General features: G+C 37.7%; 15 protein-coding genes, 1 long non-coding RNA gene, 1 gene segment (V, D, J or C) and 1 further gene; 1 reads left to right on the top strand and 17 right to left on the bottom strand.

The window, feature by feature from the left end:
• Positions 2,397–7,625, top strand: LOC124901090 (uncharacterized). Its single transcript, XR_007058970.1, has 2 exons — positions 2,397–2,497; positions 7,037–7,625. It is a non-coding gene; the product is annotated as an uncharacterized LOC124901090 (long non-coding RNA).
• The window catches only part of PCDHA1 (protocadherin alpha 1), a 226,208-nt gene continuing 220,507 nt past the window's right edge, over positions 16,594–22,294 (bottom strand). For both annotated transcript variants that reach the window (NM_018900.4, NM_031411.3), the window contains exon 4: positions 16,594–19,314. In NM_018900.4, coding sequence (NP_061723.1) covers positions 19,004–19,314 — 311 coding nt within the window. In that variant the 3' untranslated portion in view covers positions 16,594–19,003. The remainder of the gene's footprint in view (positions 19,315–22,294) is intronic.
• The window catches only part of PCDHA2 (protocadherin alpha 2), a 217,496-nt gene continuing 211,795 nt past the window's right edge, over positions 16,594–22,294 (bottom strand). Inside the window, exon 4 of the mRNA NM_018905.3 lies at positions 16,594–19,314. Within this exon, the coding sequence (NP_061728.1) occupies positions 19,004–19,314 (311 nt within the window). The 3' untranslated portion in view covers positions 16,594–19,003. The remainder of the gene's footprint in view (positions 19,315–22,294) is intronic.
• The window catches only part of PCDHA3 (protocadherin alpha 3), a 211,291-nt gene continuing 205,590 nt past the window's right edge, over positions 16,594–22,294 (bottom strand). The window contains exon 4 of the mRNA NM_018906.3: positions 16,594–19,314. Coding sequence (NP_061729.1) covers positions 19,004–19,314 — 311 coding nt within the window. The 3' untranslated portion in view covers positions 16,594–19,003. The remainder of the gene's footprint in view (positions 19,315–22,294) is intronic.
• PCDHA4 (protocadherin alpha 4) overlaps positions 16,594–22,294 on the bottom strand; it is a 205,280-nt gene continuing 199,579 nt past the window's right edge. Inside the window, exon 4 of the mRNA NM_018907.4 lies at positions 16,594–19,314. Coding sequence (NP_061730.1) covers positions 19,004–19,314 — 311 coding nt within the window. The 3' untranslated portion in view covers positions 16,594–19,003. The remainder of the gene's footprint in view (positions 19,315–22,294) is intronic.
• PCDHA5 (protocadherin alpha 5) overlaps positions 16,594–22,294 on the bottom strand; it is a 190,735-nt gene continuing 185,034 nt past the window's right edge. Inside the window, exon 4 of the mRNA NM_018908.3 lies at positions 16,594–19,314. Within this exon, the coding sequence (NP_061731.1) occupies positions 19,004–19,314 (311 nt within the window). The 3' untranslated portion in view covers positions 16,594–19,003. The remainder of the gene's footprint in view (positions 19,315–22,294) is intronic.
• PCDHA6 (protocadherin alpha 6) overlaps positions 16,594–22,294 on the bottom strand; it is a 184,388-nt gene continuing 178,687 nt past the window's right edge. For both annotated transcript variants that reach the window (NM_018909.4, NM_031849.3), the window contains exon 4: positions 16,594–19,314. In NM_018909.4, coding sequence (NP_061732.1) covers positions 19,004–19,314 — 311 coding nt within the window. In that variant the 3' untranslated portion in view covers positions 16,594–19,003. The remainder of the gene's footprint in view (positions 19,315–22,294) is intronic.
• Positions 16,594–22,294, bottom strand: part of PCDHA7 (protocadherin alpha 7) — a 178,079-nt gene continuing 172,378 nt past the window's right edge. Inside the window, exon 4 of the mRNA NM_018910.3 lies at positions 16,594–19,314. Coding sequence (NP_061733.1) covers positions 19,004–19,314 — 311 coding nt within the window. The 3' untranslated portion in view covers positions 16,594–19,003. The remainder of the gene's footprint in view (positions 19,315–22,294) is intronic.
• PCDHA8 (protocadherin alpha 8) overlaps positions 16,594–22,294 on the bottom strand; it is a 171,161-nt gene continuing 165,460 nt past the window's right edge. The window contains exon 4 of the mRNA NM_018911.3: positions 16,594–19,314. Coding sequence (NP_061734.1) covers positions 19,004–19,314 — 311 coding nt within the window. The 3' untranslated portion in view covers positions 16,594–19,003. The remainder of the gene's footprint in view (positions 19,315–22,294) is intronic.
• PCDHA9 (protocadherin alpha 9) overlaps positions 16,594–22,294 on the bottom strand; it is a 163,966-nt gene continuing 158,265 nt past the window's right edge. Inside the window, exon 4 of the mRNA NM_031857.2 lies at positions 16,594–19,314. Within this exon, the coding sequence (NP_114063.1) occupies positions 19,004–19,314 (311 nt within the window). The 3' untranslated portion in view covers positions 16,594–19,003. The remainder of the gene's footprint in view (positions 19,315–22,294) is intronic.
• Positions 16,594–22,294, bottom strand: part of PCDHA10 (protocadherin alpha 10) — a 156,451-nt gene continuing 150,750 nt past the window's right edge. For both annotated transcript variants that reach the window (NM_018901.4, NM_031860.3), the window contains exon 4: positions 16,594–19,314. In NM_018901.4, coding sequence (NP_061724.1) covers positions 19,004–19,314 — 311 coding nt within the window. In that variant the 3' untranslated portion in view covers positions 16,594–19,003. The remainder of the gene's footprint in view (positions 19,315–22,294) is intronic.
• The window catches only part of PCDHA11 (protocadherin alpha 11), a 143,391-nt gene continuing 137,690 nt past the window's right edge, over positions 16,594–22,294 (bottom strand). The window contains exon 4 of the mRNA NM_018902.5: positions 16,594–19,314. Within this exon, the coding sequence (NP_061725.1) occupies positions 19,004–19,314 (311 nt within the window). The 3' untranslated portion in view covers positions 16,594–19,003. The remainder of the gene's footprint in view (positions 19,315–22,294) is intronic.
• Positions 16,594–22,294, bottom strand: part of PCDHA12 (protocadherin alpha 12) — a 137,040-nt gene continuing 131,339 nt past the window's right edge. Inside the window, exon 4 of the mRNA NM_018903.4 lies at positions 16,594–19,314. Within this exon, the coding sequence (NP_061726.1) occupies positions 19,004–19,314 (311 nt within the window). The 3' untranslated portion in view covers positions 16,594–19,003. The remainder of the gene's footprint in view (positions 19,315–22,294) is intronic.
• Positions 16,594–22,294, bottom strand: part of PCDHA13 (protocadherin alpha 13) — a 130,224-nt gene continuing 124,523 nt past the window's right edge. The window contains exon 4 of the mRNA NM_018904.3: positions 16,594–19,314. Coding sequence (NP_061727.1) covers positions 19,004–19,314 — 311 coding nt within the window. The 3' untranslated portion in view covers positions 16,594–19,003. The remainder of the gene's footprint in view (positions 19,315–22,294) is intronic.
• Positions 16,594–22,294, bottom strand: part of PCDHAC1 (protocadherin alpha subfamily C, 1) — an 86,049-nt gene continuing 80,348 nt past the window's right edge. Inside the window, exon 4 of the mRNA NM_018898.5 lies at positions 16,594–19,314. Coding sequence (NP_061721.2) covers positions 19,004–19,314 — 311 coding nt within the window. The 3' untranslated portion in view covers positions 16,594–19,003. The remainder of the gene's footprint in view (positions 19,315–22,294) is intronic.
• The window catches only part of PCDHAC2 (protocadherin alpha subfamily C, 2), a 45,872-nt gene continuing 40,171 nt past the window's right edge, over positions 16,594–22,294 (bottom strand). The window contains exon 4 of the mRNA NM_018899.6: positions 16,594–19,314. Coding sequence (NP_061722.1) covers positions 19,004–19,314 — 311 coding nt within the window. The 3' untranslated portion in view covers positions 16,594–19,003. The remainder of the gene's footprint in view (positions 19,315–22,294) is intronic.
• PCDHA@ (protocadherin alpha cluster, complex locus) overlaps positions 16,597–22,294 on the bottom strand; it is a 226,209-nt gene continuing 220,511 nt past the window's right edge.
• The window catches only part of PCDHACT (protocadherin alpha constant), a 33,396-nt gene continuing 27,698 nt past the window's right edge, over positions 16,597–22,294 (bottom strand). The window contains exon 3 of the C gene segment in view: positions 16,597–19,314. The product of the transcript in view is annotated as a protocadherin alpha constant (C gene segment).

Genomic DNA, 22,294 nt, shown 5'->3' with positions numbered 1-22,294 from the left:
AGAGTAAATGGGCTAGGAAAATACTATATAATTGCCAGACAACGTTAAGGGCCACTTGAGATTTGTAATCACAAATATAAAATAAGAACAGCTAGCAATATTGTGATGTTTTTCTCCTGCTACATTAACATATGTGAATACAAGCCTGATGTGGGCAAAGTTTTAGGTTTACAAGTCTTTGAATTTATAAATCTAGTTTTTGATTTATGAAGCTTCGGATTTTTATAAGCAAGTATATTAAAGTGAGGGAGGATCATGGATTTTAAGGTATATAAAATGCAGTGATTATAATGATTGACCCCAGACTTTTCACTGGATAAAAAGAATTAGGACATGAAGGTGGTAGGGATGACGAAAAGATGGTAGGACTAATAGATTTTATGTATTGGAATGGTTGGCATTATTTTCGGGTCTTAGAGGGAGTAAGCTGGGAAAATTGTAGGGGGCAATTAGAAAGTTTGATGCTTGAAATTGATACTTAGAAATTAGGAAAGTGTTGCAGTCACTGATAACATAAAGATATTTGACCTTAGATGGGAGTAGGTAGCTGAGGTCAGTAGAGCACTGGGTAATTCAAGGAGAGAAGGTCAAGGAATGGAGAAGGTAGGCTGTTAGAAGAAACATCTATGTGGATATTGAAATCACCAAGTATTATGTTTAGAATAGTACTAGAGAAGATATTGAGCCAGCAGGTAAAATCATCAAGAAATGACAGTGAGTGACATGGGATCAGGAGATGACTGCTACAAGGAGAGGTAGTGGGTGTTAAAATTTGACCGCATGAGATTCTAAGCTGAATGTTGTTAGGCAGAAGGGAGATAGGGAGATCTGGAAGTGGCAAGGTGGGGGGCAAGGTAGGGTGATACAGAAGTGGCAAGTGGTAGGATGATCTGGAAGGAGCAGGGAAGATAATTTCTTACTTCTAGGCCCAGTGGGATTAAAGGCTAAGGAAAAATCACAGCTACATTTTGAGAAGAATAATGGAAATAATCTCCTTAGGGAGAACCAGTGTTCGGTTTAAACAAAGACAGCAAATTTTCAGAAAAGAGGCTGCAAACATAGGGAATTTTGCTAATGACTGACCACAGGGCATAATACAAAGGCTTCAGGAGTTAAGGAAAGATAGAAATAGCGTAAAAAAAATCTACAGAACAACATGGGATTTACTCTCTGAGTGAAAGGAGATGGTCGGGGAGTTCTGAACTTTTGGAAACTGGCATAAACCACGACCTTAATGTTGATGGTCACATAGTGATGGTAAGGCTATAAGTTGGGGGTGAAGGATTTGGATCGTGTCACAAATATACTGAATTCTGGGGCTCTCGCTTAGCTAAAACTGATGTTTTCCTTTAAGCCCAGGGCCACATAGAGACTGTGTTTGACCTGTGCCAATGCAGATATGGAGACCAGAGACAAGGGCATTTGCTGTCTGGTGTGTTTCTTTCCATCTGTCCTGGATATTATCCATAAATGGAGGAATCAAGTTTCTGGCTTTGTACGCTTTTTGAAAACAAATCCATTCCTGAAGCCCTTGCTTCTCAGATGATCAGAATATTGGGATGATAGTTGTGCTGCTGATGCTGCTAGCTCTCACATGGGGCAGTGGCCTGAGAAAACCAAAGGGCGATAAGCATGACTAAAATTTAGCTCTGAGCTGAAGAATATTCATGTTTTCCTGTGGCTAGGATGGGTACTCTTGAAATATGGAAAGTTCAGTTAGAACCTCCCAAATGAATTTTTTTTTTAAGTTTAAAAATTCGCTACTTTTTATCACCAAGATCAGAAACACAATGGCCTAATCAGTAACTGTGGACATTTTGAAACAGCCTAATATTTAAGAGGAAATTAAAAGTAAGCCTTGCTACTATCAATGTTAAAAATCACAAATAGACACACACATATTGAGTCACTGTAATAATTCTCTGGTCCTAGTTCACTGAGTCTCTGCAGATTCAATTTGGCATCAAATAACAGCCCATTCTTCTCTGCCACATTGGTCATTTGGAACTGATGAGGAGACAGATAGCACTTTAGCTGCACAGAAGAAGAAAGAAGTGCTCTAAGGTGACATTTTGTTTTGAAAGAAGTCTGGAGATGTAAGTTTGTCTACCTGTTTTTATAAACAACACTTACCAAAATTGGAGACTTTCACCATAATATCTTTTCTTAAACCAACTTAATTTATTAAGGGTTAAGATACTTGAATTTGCCTTTGGTTATGTCCGTAACACCTAAAACTCATCAAATTATTCTTACCTACAATTTCCTCATCTATGCAAGTGAAAAATAAAACTGCCTGAAAGCATTAAAAGGGACTTCCGAGTCATTGCTGATTCGAAACCAGGGCGCTTCAACTTTAACCTTCAAGATAAGCATGTTCACATCTTCAATTCCAGGCGTTGGCTAACATGCAAGACAAGCAAACTGCTCTCAGAAGAGACCTCACTTATGCAAAGAAGGCAGCCAGAGGCAGATGCCAAATTCAAAGTGGGACCTTGTAAGTAATGATTACAAAATGGATTAGGTTCCTAGAAGGACATGATATATGGACCTAGAGGGATGAACAAGCTTTTGTTAAATAACATGCTAAGATGATGACAGGAATTTAGTTCACCTTGATACCAATTCACCTAAAGTCAATTCTCCTGATGCCAATTTACCCTAATTAATCATCTAAAATTATCATTTTCTAGAGCAGTGGTTCTCAATCCTAGCTATGCATCGAGTGATTCTAACCTGGGGAGTTTTTCAAAACAATGCCCAGGCCACAACCCCAGAGATTCTGATTTATTTGGCTTGTAGTAGAGCCCAGGCATTGTCAGATAAAGTGTAAAACATCAGTTAGATGTAAATTTTAGAGAAAACAAATAATATTTTCATATAAGTATGTCCCAAATATTGTATAGGAGATATTGCATGAGACATACTTAAACTAAAAAGTTATTTGCTATTTATTTGAAATTTAAATTTAACTGGACATCTTATGTTTTCGTTTGTTAAATCTGGCAACTGTATCTGTAATTCTAGGTTTAGCCAGGACTAATAACCACTGCTCTAGTGTATATAGGTCTTATAAACTGGACTGGGTTTATTTAATGTTTTCCAAATAATTTTTCTTTTTTTTGAGACAGGGTCTTACTCTCTCACTCAGGCTGGAGTGCAGTGGCGCGATCTTGGCTTACTGCAACCTCTGCCTCCCAGGTTCACACGATTCTTGTGCCTCAGCCTCCCGAGTAGCTGGGATTACAGGTGCAGGCCACCACGCCCAGCTAATTTATGTATTTTCAGTAGAGAGGGTTTTTCCCATGTTTCCCAGGCTGGTCCTGAACTCCTGGCCTCAATTGATCCACCCGCCTTGGCCTCTCAAAGTGCTGGGATTATAGGCATGAGCCACCGCACACAGGAAATTTTGTTTTTTGTTTCTTTAAAGTATACTTTTCCCATTTCTAGGCAGTTGAATTCATTTTTAGACTGTTAGTTTCTAAAGGACTGTCAAACGTGTTTTATTTTTATATTTCTAATAAAGATTTCTAATATAAACATAATATATTAGATAGGTATGTAATAAATATTTATAATATATAATATATTTTGATTTATCTTATTTAACCCTTTTGAGCATTTACTTCTTTTTGGCCATTTGCTGTTATTTTATATTTCTTTGTGCTTTTTCTTATTAATTTGTAGGAATTACTTATATGTATAGAAATTAGTCCTCTTCTATGATATAAATAACAATATATTTTGTCTTTTGACTTAGTTCATGGTGATTTTTTAATGCAATTTTTAAAATTATATATGCAAAATAAATATTTTCTCTTCTATAACTTCTTAGTATTCTGTTATTCTTATAAAATCTTTCCCCACTTTGAGATTTTTTTTTTCGGTAAATTAACCTTTTTTTAAATTTATTTTTTATTATTATTATACTTTAAGTTTTAGGGTACATGTGCACAATGTGCAGGTTAGTTACATATGTATACATGTGCCATGCTGGTGTGCTGCACCCATTAACTCGTCATTTAGCATTAGGTATATCTCCTAATGCTATCCCTCCCCCGTCCCCCCACCCCAGAACAGTTCCCAGAGTGTGATGTTCCCCTTCTTGTGTCCATGTGTTCTCATTGTTCAATTCCCACCTATGAGTGAGAACGTGCGGTGTTTGTTTTTTTGTCCTTGCGATAGTTTACTGAGAATGATGATTTCCAATTTCATCCATGTCCCTACAAAGGACATGAACTCATCATTTTTTATGGCTGCATAGTATTCCATGGTGTATATGTGCCACATTTTAAAATTCACCCATTTTGTTGCAGAGGCTATAACTCCAATATTCTGCCCTCTTTAGATACAGAATGCTTATTTCTAATGGGTCACATCCTTGCATCAGGTTGTGACCATGTGAGCATGTAATTTTTGTTGTCTTCTTTTGGCCAGTGAGAAATAAACAGAAATGTGGGGTGGGAATTCTGGGAAACCTTAAAAGACTTCCTTCTCTTGTTCCTGCTCCTGAAACGGCTGGATCTAGCAGCCATATTGAACTATGAGAGACCTTGCCAATGTTCCAGGCTAAGGGGGCAGAATAGAAGATATGATCCTAGATCCTTAATGTCACAGTAAAGCTACCTCCACAGCCCTGACTCCCTACGTCCAGGCTTCTTTTTATGAGAGGAATATAATTGCTACCATATTTAAGTCACTTTTATTTTGAATATTTTAAAAATACGCTAACCTAAACTAATCCTAACTGCTACACCACATTTGCTCTTAATAGTTATATTATTTCTCTCTCTCTCTCTCTTTCTCTTTCTGTCTCCTGGTGTATGTGTTTTACTTCCTCTTGAATTTATTTTGGCATATAATTTTTTTCAATATTTTATTGTAGTAAAATACACATAACATTAACCATCTTAACCATTTTTAAATGTATAGTTCAGTAGTATTAAAGGTATGTATTATGTTGTACAGTCATTACCACCATTCATCCATAACTCTTTTCATCTTGTGAAACTAAAACTCTGTACCCATTAAACAATAATTCCCTATTCCTTTCTCCCCACAGTTACTGGCAACAGCCATTCTTTGTCTCTATGACTTTGACTTCTTTAATATTTCATACAAGTAGAATCACACAGTATTTGTCTTTCTGTGACCGGCTTATTTCAGTTAGCATAATGCCCTCAAGGTTCATTCATGTTGTAGAACGTGCCAGAATTGCCTTCCTTTTCTAAAGTTGCATTATATTCCATTGTATGTGTATGACATTTGTTTTTCCATTCATCCATTGATGGACACTTGGGTTGCTTCTACATTTAAGCTATTGTGAATAATGCTGCTGTTAACATGGGTTTACAGATGTCTCTTTAAGACCTTGCTTTCAATTATTTTTGGTATATACCCAAAAGTGGAATTATTGGGTCCTACGGTAATTCGTTTTTAATTTTTTGAGGATTGGTCATATTGTTTTCCACTGTGACTGCATCATTTTACATTCCCATCAATGGTGCACAAGAGTTACAATTTCTCCATACCCTCACTAACACTTGTTATTTTCTGTTTTGTTTTGATAGTAGCTATCCACAAAACAAATGGCTACCATCAAAAGGATATGTGGTAGCCAACCACATCCTGGGTGTGAGATGGTACTTATTGTAGTTTTAATTTGCATTTCCCTGATCATTAGTGATGTTGAGCATCTTTTCATGTGCTTATTGGCCATTTGTATATCTTCTTTGGAGAAATGTCTAGTCAAGTCCTTCTCATTTTTTTTTTAAGACAGAGTCTGGCTCTACAGCCCAGGCTGGAGTGCAGTGGCATGATCTTGGTTCACTGCAACCTCTGCCTCCCAGGCTCAAGCCATCCTCCTACCTCAGCCTCCCGAGTAGCTAGGACTACAGGTGTGCACCACCATGCCCAGCTAATTTTTGTATTTTTTTGTAGAGATGAGGTTTTGCCATGTTCCCCAGGCTGAACTTGAACTCCTGAGCTCAAGCCGTCTGCCTGCCTCAGCTTCCCAAAGTGCCAGGATTGCAGGCATGAGCCATCACTCCCAACCTTCATTTTTGAATTGGGCTGTCTGTTTTTTGTTGTTGAATTTTTGGTGTTTTTCTATATATTCTGAAGGTGTATATCCTTTTATAAAGTAATACATGCTAATTTTAAAAGACACAAAGATGCGTATAATCAGAAAGAAGATATAGACTTTGTACCACTACTTAAAAATATACATTAAGAATTTTGATATATTTCCTTCTAGTCTTTTTTTCTTTATTTTCTTTTCCTTTCTTCTTCTTTTTTTTTTTTTTTTCCTTCAGACAGGGTCTCACTCTGTCAACCAGGCTGGAGTGGGATTGTGCAATCATAGCTCAATACAACCTTGAATTCCTGGGCTCAAGGGATCCTCCCTTCTCAACCTTCCAAGTAGCTGAGACTACAGGGATACACCACCATGCCCAGCTAATTAAAAAAAATTTTTTTTAGAAATGGGGTCTCACTATGTTGCCCAGGTTGGTCTCAAACTTCTCAAGCAATCCTCCTGACTTGGCCTCCCAAAGTGCTGGGATAACAAGCATGAGCCACTATGTCTGGCCCAGTCTTTTTTCTTTGTATTTTACTTTATATAGCAAAGTACTTGGTTCATAATAGTTGCTAAAAAATATTGGTTGAATAATTGAAGTATGTATATTCTTTTACATTTTGATTTTTGCCTTTTAAGGACAACTTCATTAGTACATGGAGCATAGGTTCATAACCATTATTATATCATTACTAATAAAAATATAATGAAGATATTAGTGCATATGGCTTTGTCTAAATGTAATTTCCAGGAATGGAGAAAACACTTTAAACATCTTTAACGCTTCGGGTACACAATGGCACAGTGTTGAATTTTGATGGTCATTAATAAATAATATTCCTCTTTGAAGCCAATATTTAAAGCAATAGAGGTATGAAACATAGAAGAAGGCAAATGGAGACCAAAATATCCTATTTATCACTAATAAATCTCATATTAGAAATATATTTGTATCTCCAGGCAAATATGCATCTTCTACAGACCTGCAGAATTAAACCCAGGGCAGGCCTCCCTGTCACACCAGCAGGAGTAGAGCAGGGGCTCCGGGTGAAGAGTTTGATCCAAGAAGAAGAAAAGAGAACAGGAATGATTTATGCATGCCCGGTGTACCCTTTCAGTTCATTTACCGGGTAAATATTTTCCCCGAAAAAAGAGGGATCCGGTATAGAAAGGCTAGAAACATCAAGTCATCAGAGCTCCCCAAGAATGGAAAAAGGAGTGGAGAGAAAGTGTTACTGCACATCTTTATAAGAACTAAAAATTGGAATTTTTCAAACTTCTTAATAATGTAATAAGTAACAAATGGTATCTAATTGTTTCAAGTTTCTACTTCTGATTACTAATGAAGTTGAACATTTTCCTCAACATTTAAAAATTGGTTGGTGAATCATCTGTTCATATGTCTTGGAGCTTGAGTATTTTTCTTATCTATTTGTATGATTTCTTTATGTAATTCAAATAATCTTTTATTGTACTTTCTGTTAATATTTTTGGCAATGTTTTGCCTTTTAATTTGGGGATATAAAATAAATTTATGTAATCAAATCTATTCCATTATTTGTGCTTTAATTTATTGCCTTTAAGCTTAGAAAATCCTTCTCCCCATAATGGACATGCACTTTTGTTTTACTCTAGTTCTTTATGGTTTAATTTATATTTACTTATTTAATCCAACTGATATTTTTGGGTTTTGTATAGTATGGGTAAAAACTCTTTTGTCTGCCTTCAACCTACCTGCATTTCTAAGTTTTCTCCTTTTAGCCCTCTGTGTTCTCACTGACTCCATAGACAAGCAAAGAGGGAAAGAAGTGAAAAAGAAATAAAAATTATGTGATTTTTATTTTCTTAATTAGAAGGGAACAGTCATTTCTGCAAGCAATCAAGTTTCTGTAGACACTTTTCCTTTCTCTGATCAGTAGCCTAAGATGCACGTGGTTTTTTCTTTCTTTCTTTTCTCTCTTTTTTTTTTTAAGATTGAGTTTCACTCTTGTTGCCCAGGCTGGAGTCAATGGCATGATCTCGGCTCACCGCAACCTCTGCCTTCCGGGTTCTAGCAATTCTCCTGCCTCAATGGGTGGGTGGATTACAGGCACCCACCACCATGCCTGGCTAATTTTTTGTATTTTTACTAGAGAAGGGGTTTCATCATGTTGGCCAGGCTAGTCTGGAACTCCTGACCTCAGATGATCCACCTGCCTTGGCCTCCCAAAGTGCTGGGATTACAGGCATGAGCCACCACACCCAGCCAACATATGTTTTCTTACAATAAAAGTAACTTTGAAAGTATCCAGTATAAACTCTAAAAATGGAAGAGAAAAAATTATCAACTTACTTTTAAGGCATACAAATATACTCAGAAAAGAGTAAACTTGTGTTTTCATATGGCCCATATGAAATGCCTTGAATTGGAAAAATTAAATTGTTACCTAATTAAACATTAAGTCAATTTTAATTTTTTTAATTGTTGATTTTCTTAGTTGTTATTGAGAATTTCAACCATAACCTGACTCTCACTGGAGATGAGTAGATTACAAAGACATTTAATAAGGATAGTATGGGAAGAAGGTAAAGAAAAAGAATCATAAAGAGAGAAAAAAATGGTGAGGTGGGTAGAAAGAATCAATGGGGAAGAGAAAGAGTATAGGAAAGAGGATGAATTGGGGAACTGGGAGGAGAAGGAAAGAGAAGAAAGAGAAAGAAACAGAAAATGATCCTCAATCACTCAAAATGGGCTCAGGTGCCATATTGTCAACTTTTAAAAAATGGCTTATATTTATTTAGTGCTTCCCCTGAGCCTGACCCTGATCTAAGCTCTTTATAGATACTAATTATTTCAACTCAATTATCTTTTCTGTATACAGTTAGACATTAGTGTCAAAATTTACTTTGTTGGTATTATTAACATGCATTACCAAATCTTTCAATAGATCTAAGACTCCGTAAAGCAGGCTTGAGGTCTGCTATATGGGGAGTTAATCATACTTCTATTAAGGTACCCAGGAAACTAAAAACAATGATATGTTGGCTCCTTTTCCAAAAAGTATGGATGGCAAAATCTTGCACCCTTCTATTTGGCCATTATGAGGACTGAAGGGGGGAGCTCTAGAGCCAAGGCATTTGGCCTACTGTATTTGATAGTTTCTAAGCTCCTGATCCAACAAGCCCTCTGGGACACAGGCCTAATGCACTATGTTCCTTCTACTGAAATGTCAAGTCTGCATTTATTACAGTAATTATCCATTGCATGAATATATGGACTGAACATTGATTCTGAGATCACACATTGTAATATATCTAATATATCCACTGGGCCAAATAACACTCAATTTTTCACACTGTTTTAAAGCCAAATTTGCTACTCAGATACTTAAAGGCACCTTGTATTCTGGTAAATAGTTGACACCATAAGTCAGATCAGTCAAATCATAATCTTTTGATGGAAGAGATGGAAAAAAGGTGCATTTTTATGGTAAAGAAATGCAAATTAAATCATAATCCTTTGATTATCATGTTTTCAAAGATGAGAAAGACTCTTAAGATCCAGTGTTGGGCAAGGTGTAGAAGAAATTCTCATAAACTTTTGGCAAGAGTATACTGCATTACCAGAGGCCAATTTTGAAATATATATATAAGAAGTTTAATGTATATATTTGATACTTAGTAATTCTACTTTTTGAAAATTATCCTGAGGTAATAACTGGACTTACATGCCAAATGTGGTAAAAGACTATTCATGGTAGTAAAAATTTGAAAAAACCTTTATTGTCTATTAATGGAGAACTAGTTAAATAAATTATACTATAGCTATATCATGAAATACTAATATAAATAATTAAAAGGATTTATATTTATGTGGAAAAAAAGCAAGTTACAGAAACTAAGACCAGTATGATCCTTTAAAAACTATATACATATTTACAGAAAAATGCATCTTCTCCCTCTTGATGCTCTCTTGTACGCAAAGGGAACTTGGAGTCACACTCTTAACTTTTCCATACCCCTTTATTCACTCTGCTTCAGGAGGTTTTAGGGACGTATTTGATTGGCAACTTGGGTAAGAATAAATGGTTAATACTTGGCTCAGCACTGCCTCTTTTCCTCCTGGAGTTAAGCTTTCTGCTGGGAATAATAGTTCTTTTCTGTTCAACACTGTCTTTCTTGCCAGACACTGGGATTAAAAATTTGACTAATTCTGGGGTTCATCTAGCAGTCCCATTTGGCACTCACACTAATCTACATTCTCTAACATCTTTATTATTAATAAAAGGAATATTTTTGCCTTATGATGCCATTCTTTTGTCTTATTTATCAATTAATTCAGTACCCTGGACAAGAGAGAAGGCTGCTATTTATTGAGTCCTTTCAAGCACCCAGTTACAAATGCATGAAAAAAGGAATGGAGAAATAGATGCCAAACTCTTAATGGTGCCTCTCAGGAGATACTTCACTTGCTACTTTCCAAATTCTGGACATCTGTATATTTTATTTTTTAAAAAAATAAAAGCTTGTTTTACTTTTAGAATCAATAAAGGGAAATCAATATTGATATTTCATCTTGAATAAAAAGATTAATAAAACATATATAACAATGAAATACTACTCTCTATATAAAATTAACATGACCTCCCTAAATTGTACTACTTTTGGCTCTCAAACATATAATGAAATGAGTATTGTCATTCACTCCTGGTGGCCTCTAGCTGTGCAGTAGAGTGGTAACAGGAGAATAGCTGCCTTGTCATTGACTAGCTGTGTAACATTGAATGAGTCATTCCCCTTTCTGTGAGCCTCAATTTTCTCATTTGTTAAATAAGTTTCCTTGGGGCCCTAAGTTTCTAAGATTCTATACACTGATGTTTAATATACTAACAGTATCTGGGGAATATCAGCTATCAGCAAGCTATTAAAGTTGTCTCTAAGTATCCGATCTCCTTTTTTCTGAGAATTCTCCTTCCTACCCACAGTCCTCTGGCCCATGGCTGATGGGCTACCTGACTCAAGGTGATCCAATTAGTTTTTCTTTCCAGGAAGAAGTTAGAACTAGGAATTAGAAACAGAAAGTATGTGGCCGGGTGCGGCGGCTCACGCCTGTAATCCCAGCACTTTGGGAGGCCAAGGTGGGCGGATCACAAGGTCAGGTGTTTGAGACCAGCCTGGCCAATATGGTGAAACTCCGTCTCTACTAAAAATACAAAAATTAGCCAGGTGTGGTGGTGAGCGCCTGTAGTCCCAGCTACTCGGGAGGCTGAGGCAGGAGAATCACTTGAATCCGAGAGGAGGAGTTTGCAGTGAGCTGAGATTGCGCCATTGCACTCCAGCCTGGGTGAGAGCGAGACTCCGTCTCAAAAAAAAAAAAAAAAAAAAAAAAAGAAGAGAAAAAAGAAACAGAACGTAGGTTTTTATGGGCCACTAGAACCTAGTGTGTATAAATTTAGAAGCTGTGGCAAAGAGAAGGAGAGGGAGCTGATCTGTAGAGACAGGAAGAATGAAACAGATTAAGAGAGATAATTAGAGAAGATAAATTTAAAAAGGAATTTTTCTGGCTTCCAAGTTACTGGTTCCAGAGGCCTAAACTTACTCCCATTCTTAGTTTCAATGAAACAAATTTGTGTCCTTATAATAAATCATCCTTTTTAGCTTAAACTAGATGGTGTTGGTTTCTTTAACTCACAACCCAAGAATCTATTTTAAAATGCACATCTCTGTCAGCAAAAATGGTCTCATTCCATAGCCCCTTGGCCCTATCATTCCAAATCTATGCAAAGAAAGTACCTGAATGATCCTAATTTTATTTGTTTAACCTGTACAAGGCTTCCTCCCCATCCTATAAGCATCCCCAGGAAAAATCTAGCACTGCCTATCCCAGCTACTGATCCCAAGTATATGGACCACCCACCTATGTCCTAGAACCGACTTACCAGATATCTGGTTGGGCTCTAAGCTAGCATACTACTGTGAAAAGTGTGAAAGGAAGGCTAGGACTTCCAGACTCCAAGATTTCTGAAAAATTGATCATAGGCTTGAGGAGGACCAAGAGGAAGGTGATCTGGAAAGCTACAGCAGTTGGGAAGAAATGTGTGCTGTGTCTGGCTGATGAATTCTATTAGCCATAGAGAATGGAATAAACCTGATTTAGGAATGCAGTTCTTTCTTTTTTTTCTTTGAGACAGTGTATTGCTCTGTAACCCAGGCTGGAGTACAGTGATGTGACTGATTATAGCTCACTGTAATCTCAAACTCCTGGGCTCAAGCAATCCTCCTGCCTCAGCCTCCAAAAGTGTTGGGATTACAGGCATTAGCCACTGAACCCAGACTGGAATTACGTCTTGAAAGGCTGATTTAAGGGATAAAATAGTATCAATAATTTCATAAGGAAGGTTTCCTGAAGTTTATAGCCAGATGGTTTTGTAACTGAGATTTTTTAAATACATGAATGGCTGCCTTGATTTTTGGCTGTCTTGGATTCATTACTTGATAAGCAATTTGTTTTTCTTAAAATGAAATAAGCTCCACTGGTACAAAGTTAATATGTCTACCCTCAGGTAACATGTAACAACCTAGAAAAAAGTTAGACTGCTTTCTACCCAATGTTCAACCAGATTATATTAAAATATCACAGGTCTAAGCAAGTATTTGAATTGTCTTTGAGACTTCTTCTTTCATACATACATTTCAATCTGTGATTGAATGGAGAAGTCTTTGGATGAAATGAAGCTCCCATGAAATTATTCTGGATAAGTAAATGAAGACATATCTTTCTAACATTTTTCTGTTTTTCTTGTGAATGTCTGTTTTTCACCATTCATCTACAAATAGAGCCACAATTCAACGTTGAATACTAGAACTGAGTGAGTTCCAGTAAAGGAATGTGATTATTGTGGAGGGAGTCACATAAAGTTCATAATAGTCTTCCAAACGTCCTTTTTGTAATACACCTAGACCAGGTTTTATAAAGCTCAGGTGCTAAATTTATAATTGTGAACAAGTGCTATTTTTGGTTTTGAGTAGCAAAAATCTAGAAAAATTAAATGCCTTATGACATTATGATCTGGCCATTATGTGGAATTTATACAGGCATTAAAAAGAGTGATGTAGAGTTGAACTGAAAAAAATCTTCATGTTATTGTAAATTAAAAGAAAAATCTACAGGGCAACAAGCATGGCATCATTTTGTTTTTATATAAAAAAGAAAACAGGCTGGGCGCGGTGGCTCATGCCTGTAATCCTAGCACTTTGGGAGGCCGAGGCGGGCAGATCACCTGAGGTCAGGAGTTCGAGACCAGCCTGGCCAACATGGTGAAACCCTGTCTCTACTAAAAATACAAAAGAAATTATCTGGGCCTGGTGGCACACGCCTGTAGTCCCAGCTACTTGGGAGGCTGAGGCAGGAGAATTGCTTGAACCCGGGAGGCAGAGGTTGCAGTGAGCTGAGATCGCACCACTGCACTCTAGCCTAGGCAACAGAGTGAGATCCTGTCTCAAAGAAAAAAAAGGAAAACAATTATTTTTAAAACTATGTGTATGTGATATAAATGTGTGTGTATAGAGAAAAATGCAGAGAAACACATTTGAAATTGTTAAAATTGGATACCCATGTAAGAGAGAATTGAAAGAAGATGGTGAGATTAATAATTTTTCTTTATATATCTCTGGTTTATTTGATTTATTTTAAAGAACACGTATTACCTTTTATAATAAAAATTCAATTTCACATAAAACTAAATAAAGTAAGTCTAGTGAAAGCAAACTCTAAAACGAGAACTGTTGTGTCAGTCTCCCATATATTTATGCTTCGGGTGCCAATTGTTTTAGCTCTGCTCTAAGACCAGCTACTGGCTGAGTGGTTGTCTGACTTGCTCATGTTCTTTGTGGATTGATGATCCCCAAGTCACCCGACAATTGTGTAACCTAACAAAATGCTGGACTTTATGTTTTTCACTACCTACTCTTTCTTATTTCTTTATGCAAACTAGACTCATATTATGAAAGTAAATTTACTAGTGTCCAGCTCAGAGGAGCTTAAGTTCAAAGACAAGGTGATAGACTTTATTAGGCAAAAAACTTTTAAGATTTCATACGTCAGCAGGCATTTCCCAATGGATCAACCCCAAGAGAAAATGGGACCCAGCAAACATTTTACCTGACTGATTATAACAAAAAGGTTGCTATGTACCACTCTTAGGCACAGTTTCAAAAGGAGGACAGCACCATGCTCATTTGCTAAAGCCCCCTCCTAGTTACAGTAAGAACCTCTGTGCATGTGCATGTGTGTCAGCATGTGTGCGTGTGCATGTGTGTGCACGCGTGTGTGCACGTATGACTGTGCGCACGCGTGTGTGTGTGCGCGTGTGTGTGTGTGTGTGCATAAAGCCAGAAGAAATTTCTCAGGTTGCAAGTTGTGTCCTGCCAGCCAACAGTCAAGGTAATTTTGAGGGAAATAACATAATCAGCTTTTTCTACAAGGAAAGGAAGCACATGAAAATATGATGAAATAGGTCAAAGAGTGGCCAACTTATTTCCATTTCCATTTCCTGGAAAAGCTCCAGGGACTGAAAGTCTTGAGGAACTGTATCTGTAGTTTTGTTTGTTTACTTGTTTTATTGTATCTCTTAATGTTTGCATGGTTTTTAAATCTAGATTTAACAGTAAAATTGCATTAGTGTTTGGTCAGTTACATTTGTACTTTAGATTGGGGTTTATAACAAACATAATGTTTATAATTTAAACGTAAAATACATTAACATGAGATCCTGGCACTTACAATCTTACCTAGGAGCCTAAAATTCAAAGCCAAGGCTCTAGACACTCATTGGAGAATCTCATCCTTTAAAATTAGATCAATTGCAATATTTCTAAAGAATGAATCCTGCACTCTGTATATGTGAGACTTATATCAAGTAGCCTGACCCTTGAGAGAGATGCACCTGTCTTGTCCTTTATTGCCTGTGAAATCCCAGGCAAGTCTGTGGGTAATTTGGCATTTCTGTTTTGCTCATCTGCCGAAAGAAGTTGTTGGAGGTGACTCTTCTCTTTCTCTCTCAAGCTGTTGTACTTCAAACCCTTTGGTTTCTGGCTTTCAGATCACCAATAATTGAGGTGAAATAGCTGCAAACAGACTGGCCACTTGACTACTTAGGGATTTGATTATTATTATGATAGAAATAGGTAAGGAGTTATGAAACTGACTTTATTTCTTTTCCTCCTGGGGTGAGCAAAAGAGCGGAGGAGTAAATAAAATATTTTTATTGCCAAGACTATGTTGATTTTTTTGGCCATCCCTCATTCACATTTTAGTCAGTAGGAAAAGTTCCCTGGGTCTAATAGCTAAATCTCTGAAAAGGGGGTAAGGAAATGGAAGAAAAGGATTAATAAATAATAATATTTATTGAGTACTATGGTGTGCCAGACCTGCTAAAACCTTTTAAGATTACCTCACAAATCTATAAGGTCTGTATTATAATTATGACCAGTTTAGAGATGACTGAAAAACTGAGAGAAGTAGTGGTTTGCCTCAAATTCCCCATCTAGTTAGTGGCACAGCTATACCAGTTTATTTATAGAGTCCCTATAAATCCCAGTTAGCCTGGGACAGTCCCAGTTTACATCTTGAATCCTGAAGTAATAACGAATGGTGTCTCCTGTTCCATTTCAAAAGTGGACTACACAAATTATATGGTCACTCTATCTCAAGGTTTCTCAATCTTGATTTGAGACATTGACATGTTGGGCTGTAAGATCCTTTGTTATAGGGGGCTGTCCTGTGCATTGCCAGGTGTTTCACAGCATCGTTGCCCCCTACCCAGTAGATGCCAATAGCACCCTCCACTTCAAGTAATGAAAAGCAACAATGACTTCAGACGTTGCCAAATGTCCCCAGGAGGGCAAAATTGCTCCTAACTGAGAACCTACAGCATCTAAAGCTTATATTTATACAAATTTAACTACAAAAGGACAAAACAATCTATTTGTCACAGCTGAACCTATGCAGTAGTGTGGCTGGCATACACCCTGTACTCAATAAAAGTTATTTCTTTTTGTACAGATGGGATCTCGCTATGCTGCCCAGGCTGATCTTGAACTCCTGGCCTCAAGCCATCCTCTGGCCTTGGCCTTCCAAAGTTCTGAGATTACAGGCAAGAGCCACTATCCCTGACCTAAAAGTTCATTTCTTTGGGGTGTCACTTGGCTTTCCAATTGTAGAGAGGTGCAAGGGCTAAACAAGTAATGAAAAAGATGCCTAGAAGGGCTCTTGTGATAAAAATGGGTTTGTTGCAATTCTTATTAGAGAAAACTGAAATAGTGTAACTACAAAGTGACGCAGCAACCTCCTGGCTGCCCATTCTAATGATATGAAGTTTGAATCTTGATTCCACTGGGGCTTTTGCCTTAGTAATGGACATAAAAGCTAACGTGATAAGAGAGTGTTACAGTGAGTTTCATACTGCAGCAATCTTCTTCAGTATTAATTGCTTATCAGTGTTCTATTTCCTCCTATTCTTAGAAATGACCACCATTTCTTTCATACCACCATTTTCATTTATTAGCAATAACAGAGGAAATACCAATAGCACCAATTCAAAATGAATCCACATGACGTGTTTTATCCTTACAGCTGTAATAACTAGTAACTAACATGGATTGGAAAGCACTTCGCAAATGTAAAAAGTGCTGTACAGATACATTATAATTATCATCATTAATAAATTAGCCCGATTCTCCTAGTTCAAAAGGCACGTAAGGTCAGATACATGGGCTTCAGTGGGGCAAAATGATCACAACCTACAATGTAGCAATGGTTCACATGTGTTGGTAACAAGTTTTACCCCATGCAATCCTGCAGAGCTGAAGTTACACACCCTTCAAAATATGGGAGAATGAAGCTAAAAGTAGACAAGACAGTTTTTTTTTAAATTTAATGCTTTTTTTAAATAACAGACTCCTACCTCTTTTATATTAATGCCTAAATAGATAATATAATTAATCAAACTTCTAAATTGTACATTATAACAAAATTAAAATGTCTTATTTAAGGTGACAGCAAATTTTGTTACTTTCTATGAGCTGATATTTCAGATACCATTAGAATTTCAAAGCATTCTGCAACTTCAAAGAGGTCAGATTGGTAAAATTTGTGCTTGCACACCCTCATGGAATATTGTCAGTATTCATTCCAAAATTGTTACTAGAACAAAACAGCTTTATCCATTCCCTTGCCAGCAGAAGTCTTGGCACGAGATGGCTCTTGGCTGGACCATAAATAAAATTCCTTGAATCACCAGTATCTTGATTTAAGAAAGAAATTTTACTGTGTCTTTCATACACAAAAGCTGATTAACAATGGTTAAAAAAACACTACTCCACTTTTTCACAGGTGTACAAAAGGAAATATAATGGAATTACATTCAACAATAAAGCTTAAAGTTCACTCTAGGTAATAGTTGCATTAACATTCACATACACAAGCACAGAGTAAGTATATTTCAGGAGTCTTAGCATAGCATACAGCATACATATGGGAGATTGATTTCAGGTAACATCATAGGTGTTAGTAAGATTAGCAATTCAGAGTGTTATAGAAAAGGAAAACTAAACCAAAGAGAAGGTGTAGGCTAGCACACCAAGACAAGTCACAGAATTAGTAGATTGAAAAATCTGCTCACTGTATGAGAAAACAATATTTTTCTTCAATTTTTGGGTCTTGATATATAGTTGGTTAGAGAAGGTTGTGTATCAAAGTGCACATAATTGTTTCTTAGAAAAGAGAGAGAGAGAGAGAAAGAGAGATCATTTTATTTAGTAATACATGCAAGAGGCAGCCCCAGAGTGACCTGAAAGAGTAAAGCTGTGATTGGCAGGTGGCCGATATAATACAGATGTTTCAGGCAATTCTCTTAAAGCACTTCTGTAGCAGCAATGATCATTTAAATGGCTGTAGACTGAATTCTCTTTTGAGGAGAGTTTAGGGGAATTGTATTCATATTTCTCTTTAAAGATTTATAGCTATAGACTTTCTCTTTTTTTAAATAAATCTATGAAACAACAAACAGCGAAAGGTGAGGTGTCGGGGTTTTCTTTTGCTTTTGCATAAGTATTGGAAAAGGATCTGGCCTTTTCATAAACATTGTGTGCAAAAGAATTTTTAATAAAGTGAGCACAGGACATGTATAGGAAACACATCAGATCTGCTTCTGTTTCCCAGGGTGGTTCTCTGTTAAAACACTGAACTGTTGGCTTGCAGGTATGATGCAGATTTTAGGTATAATGACGTCACAGCCAACAGACTTTAGGGTCTCCTAAAGCCTTGTCAGTGGGGGTAGTTTTGTCTCCTAGAGGGTGGCTGCCACCTCTTGAGTTGTAAGATTTAGAAAGTCTGGTCCCTTTAAGTTTACACTTCCCCTCCATACTGATAACTTCCGCTGTTTATTTGTCTTTGTTTTCTTGCCTTCCTTGTACCAATTAGTCTAAGCTGGCTCGTCTCAGCCAATATCTGGCACTCGCATACCCGCGGTAGCCACACATACCCAGTGGCCACAAACTCCCAAGCTGCTCAATCTCAAAACTTTTCAGCCTGCCCTGCAAGTGTCATCAAGACAGGATCCCCGGAGCACAGGGCAGAGAGTCCAACCTCTCACTGGCGGGGCTGGGAAGCCTCTCCTTTGCGGCGGAGGAGAAAGGAAACTTGGGTCTGCTTTTTAGGTTCTGAAAACAAGCCAGAGTGGAGAGAAAGAGTTAACACCAGACTTAGTAAAGCTTTTACGACAAAACCTGTTAAATGCGTTCTAGACAGACACAGGGAACTTTCTGCAGATTTCTGAGGTCTCTAAGAGGGCTCATGTAGATAGGAAAAAGGAGCAGGGAATTGCTACATGGGAGAGATTTGCCATTATTACAAAAACTGGCTAAGTGGCTTGTTTCCATTTGAGGACCTCACTGGTCACTGTTGTCAGTCGTGCTGTTCCCTTTCTCTTTTTTCTCCTGGGTCTTGTTACCCTTCTTCTTTTTCTTCTTTTTCTTGGTCTCCTCCTTTTTGCCGAAGGTTATGAAGTCACTTTTGTCAATTTGGCTGTTAGTAGGCTCCTGCCGGATGGAGATGATTGCAGGAGATCCTGGGATAATGAATTTGTCGGGCAACTCACCGGGACCGGATTGTTTGGGGTTGCCTGGTCCGTATTTAAAGGTCCAGCTGTTGCTGTTGACACCCGCACCGACTGGAGGGGACACTTCTCCTGCCTCTGGTTCTGAAAGACAAAACATTACAAATCATTAACAGGGTCAACACATGCTCTTGATGCCACACTGCTGGTAGAGTACAGGAGTACTGCATAGGCAGGCTGAACCTCCCCAGAAAAATCACGAGTTGTTTGTTCAAGTCTGAGGGCAAGGCAAGTGTTTACTTATTTATTTATTTGTTTAATTTTTTTGAGACAGGATTTCCCTCTGTCACCCAGGCTGAAATGCAGTCACTGCAGCCTCGACCTCCTGTGCTCAATCAATCCTCCCATCTTAGCCTCCCAAGTAGCTGGAACTACAGGCACAAGCTCCCATGCCAGGCTAGCTTTTTAAAAAAAATTTTATAGAAATGGGATCTCACTATGTTGCCCAGGCTGGTCTCAAACACTGAAGCTCAAGAGATCCTCCCACCTTGGCCTCCCAAAGTGTTGGAATCATAGACATGAGCTACCACACCCAGCCAAGGCCAGTATTTACAGACAAGCAAGAGGGCAGGTTTTTTCACCAGGATACCAAGAATCTAGTTTCATAGTAACATATGTTTGGTTCTTTGTGAAGAATTTCCTAAAGAATACAGTTGTGATTATCTTGACTGGGAACGGGATGGGAAATACAGAGCCTAAAGGCAAAATATGCTCCTTTTAGTGTCTAGATTAAACTTTGGCTATAAATGTATTAGGATGTCTATTTTGTCCAAAACAAGAAAAATTAGCTGAATAAATTATTTGATCTTAATTTTATTGTAATAACATTGAAGGGTGGTGGGATGCAGCATGGAAGAGATGGGAATACACAGCGTAAGAGGATGGAATCCTGTTGTAAATTGAGCCTATTTGTTTAGATAAAACACTGGGAGCCAATTTTACTTTCCAAGCCAAATTCCTTCCCTCAGTGTGCTCACAGTCTAGTTGGACATACACTCAAGCAACTAGAAACCAACTTAATACATGCAATAACTAAAGTATATGTAAAGTATTGTGGGACTCCAGAAGAAGAAATTGTTAATTATACTTGAGAAAGTTAATGGGGTTCCAGAGGAGGTGAAATCTGCCCTGAGTCTTGGGAAAATGATTATGCATCCACAGGAGTTTTCAATAAAAGACATTCCCAAGAGTCTGATTGGAAGACACACCATAAAGTATACCAGTGACTTCTAGAAGAGTAGAAGTCAGAGCTGGAGAGGAAGGGTAATGGTCTGTCTGGGCAAAGTGATCCCAGTGGCCATGACATTGGAACTCTGACATCATAGCAATGTTTATGTATCTAACACTGCTCCTTTGGTTGACACGTGAAAAGCTCCATCAAATAAACTGTTTATGTTCAATTACAGTTTAGGGTTGGGTACAACTGCTATTTCAATTTCCTATTACTTCTCAGTCTCCTCTAATTTGGTGTCCCTGAGCAGTAATTTTCTAACATAACTCATGTCAAGTTCATTATATTACTTCCACAATCAATGGTCACATTTTAGTCCTCATCTTATCAAACCTCTCAGCAGCATTTGTCATCCCCTTCTTGAAACACTTATTCTCATGAGTTCTTTGTCATGTAGAATAACCCCAATAAGTTCTTAGATGGACTGGACCCCTGTTACAAAAGGCAGATTAACAAGAAAAAAAAGGAAACAGAAGTTTATTAACATGTACATTTCATATATACATGACAGACACCCAGAGAATGAGCAGTTCTCAAAAAGGTGGCTTAGAATTCCAGCTTATATAGCATCTTCAACAAAGAACAATAAATTTTTAAAGAAGTGTAAGACAAAGGAAAAGACCTTTAAGGACTTTGAGTCTCTAATGGGTAGCTACTTGGGGGAAGGCAAATGAATGGCAGATAAAGGCTAATTTGTAAAGCAGTACCATTTCCAGGCCAATAAGAGTCCAAAGTTATCTTCAGTGGTTAACCTTTGTTCTCCCTGGTGGTGGGAGGCAGAGGAGGGAGGTGGAAGTAGGATAACTTTTGTCTTTGTAAATTTATGGTTTTTTAGGCAAATACAGGGAGGGCAGAAGACCTCTCCTATATCTGCTTCTTTTATTATTATCATGATTATTATTTTTTAAATTTGAGATAGAGCCTTGCTCTGTTGCCCAAGCTGGAGTGCAGTGGCGAGATATCAGCTCACTGCAGTCTCTGCCTCCTAGGTCCAAGTAATTCTCGTGCCTCAGCCTCCTGAGTAGCTGGGACTACAGGCACATGCCACCATGCCTGGCTAATTTTTTTTTTTTTTTTTTTTTTTGTATTTTAGTAGAGATGGTGTTCCATCATGTTGCCCAGGCTGGTCTCGAACTCCTGAGCTCAGGCAATCTGTCCACTTTAGCCTCCCAAAATGCTAAGATTACAGGCATGAGCCCACTGCACCCAGCCTGTATCTGCTTCTTTTAACTTGCCTTCAGCTCAACAATCCTTCTTATTTTGGGACAGCATATTCTGGCCCCCACCATCAAAACATTCTCCTGACCTTTCTCTCTGACTGTTCTTTGACAGTTTCCTTTGTCAGTCTCCTCATCTGTGTGTTGAAGCTTCCTTGGGTTTGGCCCTAGACTCTCTTCTCTATTTTCTCTTCACTCTCTCCTTTTGGGATCTCAGCCATATCCATAGATATAAATACCATATGAATAAGCTGATGAGATGCAGACTTATATTTTAAGCCCACATCTCTCTGTGCTCCAATCTCATGTATAACTGCCTATCTGGTATCCCCAGTTGGAAATCTCATGGGCATCCCAAACTGAAGAAATCTGAAATCAAACTCTTGATTCCTCGAATCTATTCCTTTCTAAATCTTTCCAGTTTCAGTAAATTACACCCCATTTACCCCATTTCTCAAGCCAGAAAGTTCAAAGCTAATTATTCATTTTTCTCTATTCTATTCTTCATTCTCCATTTATAATACATCATCAAGACCTGTCATTTCTGCCTCCTAAATATATCTTGACTCTGTCCTCTTCTCCCAATTTTCACTGCCACCACTCTTTCAGGACACCA

Source organism: Homo sapiens, chromosome 5 (assembly GCF_000001405.40).
Source record: "Homo sapiens chromosome 5, GRCh38.p14 Primary Assembly".
Taxonomy (NCBI): Eukaryota; Metazoa; Chordata; class Mammalia; order Primates; family Hominidae; genus Homo; species Homo sapiens.
This window is presented reverse-complemented; position numbering and strand designations above follow the sequence as displayed.